This window comes from Homo sapiens, chromosome 22, assembly GCF_000001405.40.
Source record: "Homo sapiens chromosome 22, GRCh38.p14 Primary Assembly".
NCBI lineage: Eukaryota > Metazoa > Chordata > Mammalia > Primates > Hominidae > Homo > Homo sapiens.
This window is the reverse complement of record NC_000022.11, coordinates 45,760,237-45,772,870: the sequence shown is the minus strand read 5'-3', so window position 1 is coordinate 45,772,870 and position 12,634 is coordinate 45,760,237. Positions and strand designations below refer to the sequence as shown.

At 42.4% G+C, this 12,634-nt stretch overlaps 1 protein-coding gene and 1 non-coding gene across 4 annotated transcripts in view, besides 3 other annotated features; both read right to left on the bottom strand.

Moving 5' to 3' along the window:
• The window catches only part of ATXN10 (ataxin 10), a 173,474-nt gene that overhangs the window by 72,437 nt on the left and 88,403 nt on the right, over positions 1-12,634 (bottom strand). The window lies entirely within an intron of this gene.
• Positions 3,886-4,459: an enhancer, noted in NCBI's record as "OCT4-NANOG hESC enhancer chr22:46164292-46164865 (GRCh37/hg19 assembly coordinates)". NCBI's record gives its function as "activates a minimal SCP1, AML or CMV promoter by ChIP-STARR-seq in primed H9 embryonic stem cells {active_cell/tissue: H9 hESC(primed)}" and the evidence as "EXISTENCE:reporter gene assay evidence [ECO:0000049][PMID:30033119]".
• Positions 9,627-10,220: an enhancer, noted in NCBI's record as "H3K27ac-H3K4me1 hESC enhancer chr22:46158531-46159124 (GRCh37/hg19 assembly coordinates)". NCBI's record gives its function as "activates a minimal SCP1, AML or CMV promoter by ChIP-STARR-seq in naive H9 embryonic stem cells {active_cell/tissue: H9 hESC(naive)}" and the evidence as "EXISTENCE:reporter gene assay evidence [ECO:0000049][PMID:30033119]".
• Positions 9,768-10,062: a silencer, noted in NCBI's record as "tiled region #9609; K562 Repressive non-DNase unmatched - State 24:Quies". NCBI's record gives its function as "represses a minimal TATA promoter and a strong SV40 promoter by Sharpr-MPRA in K562 cells {active_cell/tissue: K562}" and the evidence as "EXISTENCE:reporter gene assay evidence [ECO:0000049][PMID:27701403]".
• On the bottom strand, positions 12,273-12,347 carry MIR4762 (microRNA 4762). The gene has a single exon (NR_039919.1). It is a non-coding gene; the product is annotated as a microRNA 4762 (primary transcript).

Here is a 12,634-nt window from a genome sequence, read left to right as displayed (position 1 = left end):
TATCAGGGACTTCAACATCTATTTTTGGTAGCCACAGGGGTCCTGGAATGAATACCCCATGGGTACCAAGCAACCACTGTGCTAAAAATAAATCTAACAAAGCATACACAGGATCTACATGCTGAAAATGAGAAAACACTGATGAAAGACATCAGAGAAGATCTAAATAGAAAGACATTCCTGGTTCACGGATTGGAAGACTCAACACAGTAAGACATTGATTCCCCCCAAAGAGAGCTGTATATTTAACGCAATTCCAATCACAATCACAGCAGAGTTTTGTAGAGTTATGAAAAAGCTATTCTAAAATTTACATGGAAGGGTAAAGAAGATTAAATCACTAAAATAAAGTTGGATGAATCACACTACCCAATTTTAAGATTTACTGTAAATTGACAGTAATAAAGACAATGTTGTAATGGTGAAGAGACAGGCACAAATATCGACGAACAAAATAGCATATCTGGAAACAGACCCACACAAATTGGGCCATTTGATCTTTGACAAAGGTGCAAAAGCAATTCAATGAACAAAAAAGGATAGTCTTTTTAACAAATGCTGCTAGAATAATTCATCATCCATTTGCAAAACAATGAACCTTGACCTAACCCTCACACCTTATAGAGAGACTAACTCAAATGGATCCTAGATCTAAACACAAAACATAAAACTACAAAATTTTAGGAAGAAAAACTATGAGAAAATTCTTGTGATTCTGAATTAGGGACAGAGTTCTTGAAATGACACAAAAAGTATGATTCATAAAAGAAAAAAATTGATAAAGTGAACTTCAAAAATTTTAACTCTTGCTCTGCCAAACACACTGCTAAGAGAATGAAAATGTGGGCTACTGACTAAAGAAAATACTGTGGATCACATCTCTGACAAAGAACTTGTGACCAGAATACACAAAGAATGCTCAAAATTCTACAATAACAAAACAATCCAGCTGGGCACAGTGGCAAGCACCTGTAGGCTCAGCTCCTCAGGAGGCCAAAGCAGGAGGATGGCTTGAGCCCAAGGAATTTGAGGTCAGTCTGGACAACACAGCAGAGGCCCCTTCTCTTTTAAAAAAATAAAAATTAAGACAGAAAGAAAACAACCCAATTTCAAAATAAGGAAAAGACTGGAACAGATACGTCACCAAAGACTCAGGCCGGGCACAGTGGCTCACCCCTGTAATCCCAACACTTTGGGAGCTCGAGGTGGGTGGATCACTTGAGGTCAGGAGTTCGAGACCAGCCGGGCCAACATGGTGAAATCTTGTCTCTACTAAAAATACAAAACTTTGCTGGGTGTGGTGGTGCGTGCCTGTAATCCCAGCTACTCGGGAGGCTGAGGCAGGAAAATCACTTCAACCCGGGAGGCAGAGGTTGTAGTGAGCCAAGATCACATCATTGCACTCCAGCCTGGGCAACAGAGCAAGACTCCATCTCAAGAAAAAAAAAAAAAAAAAAGACTCAAGCATGGCAAATTAAACATATGAAAAAACGTCCAACATCATTAGCCATTATTAGGGCAATAAAAACTACAACAAAATGAGATACCACTACACACTTATTAGAATGGTTAAATTAAAAATACTGACAATACCAAGAGCTGACGAGGATGTGCAGAGTTGTATTCCATTGTATGGATGTACCATTGTTTATGCATTTAACCATTAAAGAACATTTGGGTTGTTTTCAGCTTTTGGCTACCATAAATAAAGCTTCTGTGAACATTTGTGTGTAGAGGTTTTTGTGTGAACCTCTTTTCACTTTTCCAGGGTAAATACTTAGGAATGCGACTGCAGGGTTTTGTGACAGTATGTTTAATTTTATAGGAAGCTGCCAGGGTGTAGTGGCTGTACCATTTTGCATTGGAGGGAAGAAGGCAGCCGCAGAGAGCCAAAAGGGCTGGCCTCGAGTGCTCCCAGGATGGATCTGGGTTCTTCTCTCTGAGAAGGCTCTGTGGCTCTGTCCTCTCTCTCCAAGTGAGCACTTCCTGAAAAGCTACTCAGGGATCAGGGAGGGAATTTGGGGGTATTCCCAGGCCATGGGACCAAATGAAACAATTCACTGGCTAAAGGGTCCCAGCAAGGCATGGAGAATGTGACGTGGCTGGATCCTGCCCTTAGCTCCCCTTTCTTTGAGAAGCCCTCTTCAGATCCTGGGCTGAGCCCAGCTGCAGTGAGCTATCATGCTTACAAGTTTGTTGCCTCAGACAGGCCGAGAACCATCAGTGGCTCTCGCATATGTGGACGTGGCTCTCTGTGAAGCCCTCAGGTCTGGTCCATTCTGGGAGGACTCCAGAGTCCAGGTCTGCCTATCATCCAGCTCATTCAGAGCCCCCTCTGCAATGTTAAACTTTCTTTGAATTTATCTGATCGTAAGAAACACATATGCATTGCAACCTAATGTTGCAACACACATTCACAGACACAGAAACACACGTGTGTGTCCCATTAGTGTGTATATTCATCACATACCCCCCTCTTTTTCACATCACCTGTCCCAACCAGCGACAGTACTTATTACAATGTGTCCTCATCCTGTCTCATTTTAAAAAAATTCTCACTATGACCAAAGAATTCATTTCGTATCTCGTTATTGGGATGCAACCCACATTTTTAAAAACTCTGCTTAAGATGGGATTTAAATAGATATGGGTTTCAATCATATTTGCTGTAAATTGTTTGGGCAAATTACTTTTGACTTTGGTTCCTCATGTCCTCATGTGTAAGACAGGAGTAACACCTCTCCTAGGTAAATGGCATACAGAAAGCACAGAGCTTGACACATAATCATTTCTCAAGAAACAGTAGCCATTACTGGTCTAGAAACCCTAAGCCGCCCTTCTTCAGCTCTTAGTCTTGCCATCTGGGCCACAGCCTGCTCTGTGAAACTGCATCTGAGAACCTTTATTTAGAACTGTATTTATAGAGTGACAAAATACTTGTGGTAACATTTAATTTTTATTCAACCAACATGTTTATAACTTACATTTCATCAGAAAATTTTTTATATTTTTTAACTTCCTGACACTCTTAAGAGTTTTTGTTCAGATCACACTCTACTGCATACAGAGTAAATTCATTCATCAGATATTTTCTGAGCACCTGGCAGACATCTTGTCAGGCTACTCGAGAAGGCAAGAGAAAAGAGGCCTGGCTCCTGGCCAGGAAGATGCCCAAGGCTGGCTTCAAGGTCCTAGGGAATCGGCCTTGGTCTTCTTTTCTTGACCAAGTCTATTTGAGATTCTCTCTAGCTTCAGCCAAACCTATACTGACCCTTTACCTTTCTTCCTCTGTACCTCTGCTGGTGTAATTCATTCCTTTGAAATAGTCTCTTCATCGCCACATAACTGCTACCCACCATTCCTCAAGGCCCAACTCCACGGTGACCTCTTTTCCAAGCCATCTCCATTCCCCCTATACTGTGGCATTGGGGGCCTTCTGTGCCCTCATCGGGCAGGATTCTACCCATTTCATGCTTGATTCTCCCATCTACCTAGCACAGTGCCCTGTACCAAGCAGATCCTGTAGAAATGTCTGTTGTGTCTATGAATATAACAACAAAAATGTGTCTGTATGGGGGAGAGGGGATGAACGGCGCCCATCTGCACACGTTACTCTTTTGATAAAGCTGCCTTTCAGATTCCATGATGAGTCCCCTACCCACCAAGAGCTCTCAACCTCGGGTCAACAACAATAACAACTCTTTAAAAATTTTTAACCATTTTTTTAAATGAAAATTTCCAAACACACCACAAAGTACAGAGAGAGGGAGGTATAATACATACTCACACACCCAACATTCGGCTTCAGAAACCACCATGTTGTCAACTTGTTTCATCTGTCTTCTTCCCACACTTTTTCCCACCAAGAGTATTTAAAATAAATCTCAGCAACTCATTTCACCAGCTAATACCTTGGTATTTCTAACAGACAGCACCTTAACAAAAATAACCAGATTGCCATTGTTTTGCCTAGAAAGATTAATTACAATTTCTTAATATTACCTAAGAGCCAGTCCACGTTCAAATATCCATGGACATCTCTCCATGAACATCTCAAAAATGTCCTTTACAACTGGTTTGTTCAAATCAGCACTCCAACAAAGTCAACACAGAGCATCTGCTTGCTGTGCCTCCTAAATAGTTTTAATCTGTAAAGGTATGTTCCTCCCCACTCCTTTCAAGCCATCTGTCACTGAGCAAGCTGGCTGTTTGTCTTGTAAATTCTTTTTAATGCCCTCTGGATTTGGTGACTACGTTTTCTTTAACATGCCCTTCTCTCTCATGCCTGTATTTTCTCTAAACTGACAGTTAGATCTAGAGGTTTGATTTGGTTGCAATTAATTTGTTTTAGCAAGAAAACTTCACACGTGGTATTATACTTACTGCATACATTCTTAGCATCATTACGAACTATGGGATTTTTGTGTTTTTTACACAAACCAGTTGTGTTTTCTATGTGTTTCAATCCACTGCATTTTTTTTTTTCATCCTCAAACCATCCCTGCTTTGGACAATGGACAACACTTTAAGGGTCTTGTGTCCTTGTGACATAGCTGCAGGGGGACTTTGGCAACTTTCTTGTACATCTATATGTCCGAGGTCCACCTTCCCCATTTCCTGCCCCACCTAAAACCAGCCATATCTCCAAGGAGCCCTGGTTCCTTATAGAGAAAAATGGTATTAAGAAAGCACAATTTGGATGATACCAGGGCTCAACGATTTTAGTTCTTTTCAGTGAATAAGGGTAGGAAATAGGCACTTTCTGGAAAGAAAAATACTAACCATGATTTCATACTGCTATTTCCAACTCAAACTTTAAGGGTTTTAAACTTCACCTCTTTGCTTTTATCTTTGTATCTCTATTATGCTGAAATTCTTGCTGTCTAACAGCTTTAACATAATCAGTTTTCTCTATTCTAAAATAAAGTATGTAGCACACACATATAAAACAGTGTGTACACATACACACAGTGTAAGTATTTCAGAGTAACAATACCAACGTTGCTACTAACAGAATGCAGTTTATAATTTCTCTGTGGCTCTTCTGTTCCTAGGCTATACCCCACTAGAATTACATTGTCAAAATACGATGTTTTAAAATCAGTTCAAATATCCTCTCTGTGAGATATACATAGATTCCTTCCTTCCTTTTCTCCTTCTTCCTTCCTCCAACCCTCTCCCTTTTTTTTCTTTCTTTCAAGAGATTGTATTTGTATTTCCTTTTTAATTTTTAATTAAGTAAAACATATACCTGATTTCAAAGTAATTCTATAAAACAGGCACACTCAAAGAATTTTAGTTTCTATCCCTGTCTATTCCACCCTGGCCTCTCCTCTTAAAGCTAACCATGTTTAAAATGAGTTTTTAGTTTATTCTTCCATGGTTTCTTTTTTAAATTATATAGAAAAAATGTGTGGTGTGTGTGTGTGTGTGTATGTATATTTATATACATATGTGTATATAAATATATGAATATGTACATATATTCATATTTCTCCCTCTGTATTACATAAAAGATATAGTATACTATAAAAATGTTTTGCGATTGCTATTTCCACATAATAATACATCACTCAGATCACTCTGCAGAATATATACAGGTCTACTTCATTCATTTTTACAATGCATTGTATTTCATTACATGGACATACCAGAAATCCCCTCCTGATGGACACCTGGTTTGTTTCTAACTCCTTGGAATAAGAAATAATGTTGCAATTAATGGTCTTGAACTAGTTTCTAGTATAGAGTCCTAAAAGCAAGACTGCTGAGTCAAAAAGCAAATGCATATGAATTTTACCAGAACTACCAAATTCCTATCTACGAAGACGGCTCCATTTTGCATTTCCACCACAGCAAGAGAATATTTGTTGCCCTATGGTCTTGCCAACTACATTTGATATCACACAGGTGAAAAATGGTATCTCAGTGAGTAGTTTAATGTGCATTTTTCTTTTTATGAGCAAAGTTGAGCACTGTTTCACCTTTGCGTTTTTCTGTAAACTGTCTATTCATATCTTTTATCCATTTTTCTGTAGGGCTATTGGTTTTTTCCTTTATTTTTGGAAACTCTTTGTATTATGGATATTAGGCTTTCTGTTTGTGATTTAAGTTGCAAATCTTTTCCACTATTTTTTCTTTATCATTTTATGTGCTTATTTGCTTCTTGTCATCCAACTTTTTAAAAATGTACTTAAATTTATCAACCTTTTCTCTTATTGCTTCCAGACTCGGAGGTTATATAACGGAACTCATTCATGTTTTCTCCTAATACTTGCATGGGTTCAGGTGCTGTTACATTTACACCTGTGCCATTTACAGTTTATTCAAACTGATGTCTATGTTATAAGGGATGTATCCAGTTTTATCTAAAGGAGGAGTTCCCAACCTTTTTGGCACCAGGGACTGATTTCATGGAAGGCAATTTTTCCACAGACTCGGGGGAAGAGGGGTTGCGGGGAAGACTTCAGGATGAAACTGTTCCACCTCAGATCATTAGGCATTAGATTCTCATAGACAGCTTGCAACCTAGATCCCTCGCATGCACAGTTCACAACAGTATTCACGCTCCTGTGAGACTCTAATGCCACCTCTGACCTGACTAGAGGCAGAGCTCAGCTGTGTGGCCTGGTTCCTAACAGGCCATGGACCAGTACCAGTCCACGGACCAGGGATTGGGGAACCCCTGATCTAAAGGTAGCGGATATCCTTGTCCCCATACTTTTTATTAAATATTCCTTCTTTTCCTCCCAGTGATCTGAGATGCCAGCTTTATCATACACTACATTTCCAAAAACATTTGAATCTATTTCTGCATTTTTCTACTGTGCCCCATTAGCCTGTCAGCCCCTTCACGTGCCAATGCCAGGTTGTTTTGAACAGTGGAAGCTGTATAACATTTTTAGTATCTGGTAGAACTAGCTGTTATTTTTCTTTTTCAGGGAATTTCCTGGCTATTACTGCTCATTTATTTATCTAAATAAATTTAGAATCAATCTAGCTCAAAAAAAACCTGAGGGTATTACTGGGATCATATTAAATTTGTAAATTAATGTAAGGAGAAATGCCATCTGAATGAAATTGAGTCTTTTTACCTAAGCACATGGTACGAATAGGGACAATTTTCAGGTAGGCTGCTTCCATCTCAGTAGGGTCTTCATGAGAACAACCAATATTTTGAACAGCAAGAGTAAGATTTGCAATTTTCAGGAAGTACTTTATATTTGAGGAGTGATTTATGACATGGAGGGGCTTTTAAAATATTTGCACTAAAGATATGAGCACCCAATAAGGGGGAACTTAGGTAATGCCAAGGTGCAGGTGGAGGAGGGGAGCAAATCCACCACAATCAACCCCTCAGTCCCAGCTGATTCTAGAGCAACTTCTTGCAATTAGGAATTAGGGAGAGAGAGAGGAATAATTCACCAGAGCACAAGTTTATCTTCCAAGATTTGGGCAGCATTTTAATGCCTCTAAACTAATTTCTAATGACTGGCAAAGTTTCGCTTTACTACAAACCCTGCCAAGTCTCCCTAGTACTGTCTCCCTCTTGGTGGCTTTCAGACTTGTCTTGCTCCTCACAGCCTCTCTGTATCTTCCTATGATGATGTGCTGCAACCTCCTGATCTTTATCATCCCCACACTAAGTCAAATCTTTCCTCCTGCCATTGCCTTGGGGAAGAAGTGGCTTCTAGGACTGGCCCCGCGATGAGAGGGCAATCTCCTTGGCTCCCGGTAGTGTTTCCACAGGGGCATACTTCACGCTGCTTTCCAACCAGTATGTTTCTTCAAACGTGCTTCACCAGAAATCCTGAAAGGGATTTTTACCATTTATAAAATGGAAAGTTTATCATATAATCCTTTAAACTGTAAAATATAAGATTACTGGTGACAATGACTGTTGGGAATTAACTGATTGAAAAATGAAGAGCATATACTGAAGATGTGAAAAGGTTCAGAATAAAAACCTCACAACAATTTAAAACAGACAAATGTCCCCACAGTCACAAGGACACTAGCAGACAGCACTGACATCCTAGCTGTCTGATGCTGAGAATTCAACAGAATGTGTGTGGAGCAGAAGCGCCTGTGAATTTCCAATAACTCCGCAGCTTACTAAATATACACGTGGTTTACGAATGTTGTTATTTGTTCCATCCAGAGAGTCTCATTTTACACCGTTCTGAATAAATTCTTTGGGTGTTCAAATTTTGCTTTGCTCCACTTCACCAAAGCATGCAAGGGTTTGATACCAAAAAAGAGAAAACTCTATCTTAGCTTCAATCTACCCACAAAGGATGATGGGGTAAAAAGTCAACGAAACTACCACTGGTAAAAGACAAAGGCTCATGAAGAGCGAGTTGGATTCTGAAGTCTGAAAGGATGAGGCCAAACAAACCCGGATTAGCCAGACGCAAGGGAGATGTCTTTTGAGAGTTGAGACTCAAACTCATGGGGAAGGGAGGGGAGTTGTAAACATTTTATAGAACAGAAGCCTTGCTAAGGGAAACCCTTCCACGGAAACTTACCAGGAGCCCTGGTAATGCTGAGCAGGAAGGCAGTGTGACAGGAGGGAATCTGAGAGGTCTGGGCCTGGGGCAACAAGGCTTGCCTGAGTGGGAGTGGGGGTGGGGGCTGGGGGGTAGCGGTGGATCTAACCCTGCAGAGAGGGAACTCCCCTGCGATGGGGGAGGGAGAAGATGATTCCTGCAGAGAATGTGGACTTAGCAAGCAAGCGTATGAAGTCAGGGTCAGATGCTGCAGTATTGAAGATGAGTGTGCACCGTGAGGAAGGATTTCAAGCACACGCTGCAGGATCAGGGAGAAGCAGAGAGGCTGCCGGAGAGGCCGGGGAGAAACTGGCTGGCCGAATTCTGGAATGGAACTCACAAGTCAGGTATTATAATTTTCTCCAATAACACGTAGCAGCCTTAGATAAGAAGGGGGCCTGGAAGACACTGGGGGAGGTGGGGGTAAGAGCCTAACACAGCCGGCACCTCAAGACAGCCCATGCTCACCAGCTCACTCAGTGAGCCCACTCCACCACCATGCTATGCTGTTCCCAGCACCAGAATGGTGAAGAGACAAATGGTCCCTGCCTATCCTCCTTGTACTTACATTCTAGGGTTGCGAAGAGCAGAGCAGACAAAACCAACCACAAATGTGCCTGTAAATGCATGCATATGAAGACAGTCTGACCTGTGGCAGTGAAGGAACAGAGAAAAAGGCAAGAGCCCAACCTGGGGAAAAGGAAGGGCCCAAAGAGCAGGGACAGAGAGGTGGGGGGCGTGGTGGGGTCCGACTTTTAACAGGTAGGGGGCAGGAAAGACCTGTGAGGAGATGAGCAAACACCTGAGGGTGCAGCAGCCACACACTCTGCAGACCTGGGGCTGGGGAGAGGAGCGCAAGCACAGAGGCTCAGGCAAGGAGCCGCCTGTCTCCTGGCAAAGCGAGCGAGGGGCCAAGTCCAAAGGCCTCAGCTTGAACTCAAAGGCCTTTCGTAACCTTGACGAAACCTTCACTCCCACTCAGCCTCATCTCTGAGGAGCCCTCCAAGTCTCTCCAGCCAGTTCCCTCGTTCCTTCCTTCTCTGCCTTGAACACGCCAGGCCCACCTCACCACCTCACTCTCTCCAGCTCTCCAGATTCTCCCACCACCTCCCTGCCCCCAGAACACTGCCCGGCAGCCCTCCCCAACTGAGAGTCACCAGGGTGAGGGAGAGGGGGTAGGAAGGCCACAGAAACATCATTTCCTAGGCCTCCTTCCAGATGAAAATGCTGTAGCCACAGCCTCCTACTCCAGGAAAAGGGACCACGCAGTTCTTTGCGCAGGAGAGGCCATGGCTTTACAAAGCGCTTCTTAAATGCTTCTGTGCATTCCAATCCCCTGAGGATGGTCTGATTCCGGATGCTGGGGTAGAGCCTGAGACTCTGCATCTCAGACAAGCCCCTAGGTGATGCCTCTGCAGTCCACAGTCTGGGCTGTGAGGGACTACAACAGGGATGGAGACAGACCCAAGGGAAGCCACGCAATTACTCTCACTTGGAATTTGGAGCCAAAACACAGGGGGAAGGCATCTGTCAGTGGGGGCTCCACAGCAGGGAGGGGAGGATGTGGAGAGATGGCTGGGGCCATGTGAGGTCACCAGCCTGGAGACAGGAGTAAGAGTGAGGTGGCCTCTGGGGGACCAGGAGGCAGTCCCTGAGGCCTGGAAGCCCCTTGGTTCATGCTCTGGGAGTCTGTGCTCTCCCTGTGGCCTAAACACATACACTCTTGCCCAGCTTCCCTTCAGCCAGCTGGAGAGCGAGGAGGAAGCACCCTGGCCAGACAGGAGCATGCCTGGGAGCCTCCCAGGAAGACACAACAGGTGTGCAGACACAGGTTCGGCTAGGGTGGAGCCCACCAACACTCAGCCAGAACATGCACCGTGGAAAGAATCCTGCTGCTGTGGTCTGCTTCTGACTGAAATCAACTGCTTTATCTGCTATCTATCATAACAAAGATAAATAAAAAATGAGATGTAGTCATGAAGCGGGAGTGCCTACCCTGGGTCAGGCCCTCTGTCAAGCAATGCAAAGACAGAGAAAAATAAGCCGAGGTCCCTGCGCCTCCAGAAAGAAACGCACGCTGGTCAGGGGAAACAGACAAAGGGCAAATAAATAGAAACACAGTCTCGGAAACGCACAGGGGACAGAGACTGACTTCCTTTCTACCTGTAATGTCAAGCTTTTCACTTTTTCTGCAATTGTTACAAGTAAAATACTATCTTTTATGAGTAACTTTTGTTGGTTGGCTCACTTAAACCATAAAGTGAAGTAAAAACATATGACTAAATAGGAAGTTTTTAAAAATCAGAAAACCTGGGAGTCAGAAGGCTCTTAAAGGCGAATATGGTCCATTCACCTGCTTCAGTTAAGACCACAACTACTTCATCCCAGTCAGATGTGTTTTTTTTAAAAGCCAGATTATACTTTAATCTATTTAAGTATAGTTTCAGCCCAACTGCACTGAAATCAACCTTTTCTGTTTTAGCCAACATTTTAAAAAATCTAACACAATGGTCTAATTTTTTAAAATTTTAATTAAAGGCCCATTTAGAAAAGTAACCAACTTTTGATATTCCCTGAGGTGGAACTTAAAACAGATTTTAATGTAACTGCTAACAAGGACTAAGCAAAAACTGGGAAGAAGTGTATGATAAAAAAATAGATAAATAAAGAGCAAAGGCTTGCATAAAATGTTCCAGTCACTGGATTATAATGCTTCGTTACATTTGATTTTTACCTTTTCGAGATTATACCTATGATACTGTATTACAATTTAACCAGTTATCACCTAGTCTTCCATAAAGGTTGGTGAGAAATGAAAATTAAGTAAACACAGTATTACATAAGTGCTTAGAAAAGTTTAACTGTGAAAACAATGAACAGATTTAAAAATATTCATTTGTTCATCCCTAAAAGTTTACAGAGCACTCACTGTGGGCCCGGAACTGTGCCAGGGGCCCTGGAGAGAATGAGGAGCAAACAGACATGGAGCTTACATGCTAGGCTTGTAGTGTTTTAGATGGTAATACAGTCTCTGCTCAAAATCACCAATATAAAAACATTAAAGTCCCAGCTACTTGGGAGGCTGAGGCTGGGGAATCGCCTGAACCTGGGAGGTGGAGGTTGCAGTGAGCCGAAATCACGCCACTGCATTCCAACCTGGCGACAGAGCAAGACTCCGTCTCAAAAAAATAAAATAAAATAAAATACTGAGGTCACCCTTGAAAACATAAGCCAACAATGAAAATTCAACTTCTTTCCCAAAAGGAAAACAACAATAATGAAACAGAATAAGCTACCTGAAAGAAAGCTTCCTCTTTCATTACTCTTTATCAAATTACTGTCTCTCACATATGTCCTTTTATTTCCAGGCTTATCACCACCCTCCAACCAGGCCTCCACTGCTGTAGCAACCTTTTAACTGGCTCAGGAATCCACTCCGCACACTGGGGCTCTTATCAGTGAGGATGGGCTGGTTCGTGCTGCAGTAACAAACAATCCACAAAAATCTAAGAGGCTTAAAATGAAAGTTTCTTTCTTTCTCATGCCACTTAACAGCTGTGTGGCCTTGGGTACACTACTGAACCATTCTGGCCCTCAGTCTCCTCATCTGCAACATGGGAGAGGTATCATCATTAAATGAGGTAAGAGACGAATACTCAGAACTGTGCCTAGGACACAGGACACACTCAATAAGCAACTACTATTGCTGTAATCGTTGTTATTCTTGACACCACAAATCTTGATCAGAAGCCTTCCTAGCTTCTGATCAAGGCTTCTGATCAAGATTTGGGGTATCAGAAATAATGGGATATGACTACACCCTATCATCTAGCCATCTGTCTCCCACAGTAGATCATGAGCTACTTGAGAACAAGGACTGCCTCTGACTCCACTGTTGAACTGCAGAGGTTCACAGAAAGTGGCACATGGTAAGCACTCAGAAAGTGCTTGCTGCACTAAAGGGAACGATGTTGAATAATAATCACTGGTACGTGAATAAACCCCACATGTGCTGGACATACACAGAGTCCCATATTAATGAGGGCACACTCTCAGATGCATCTGGCCCGCAGGAAACCTGACTA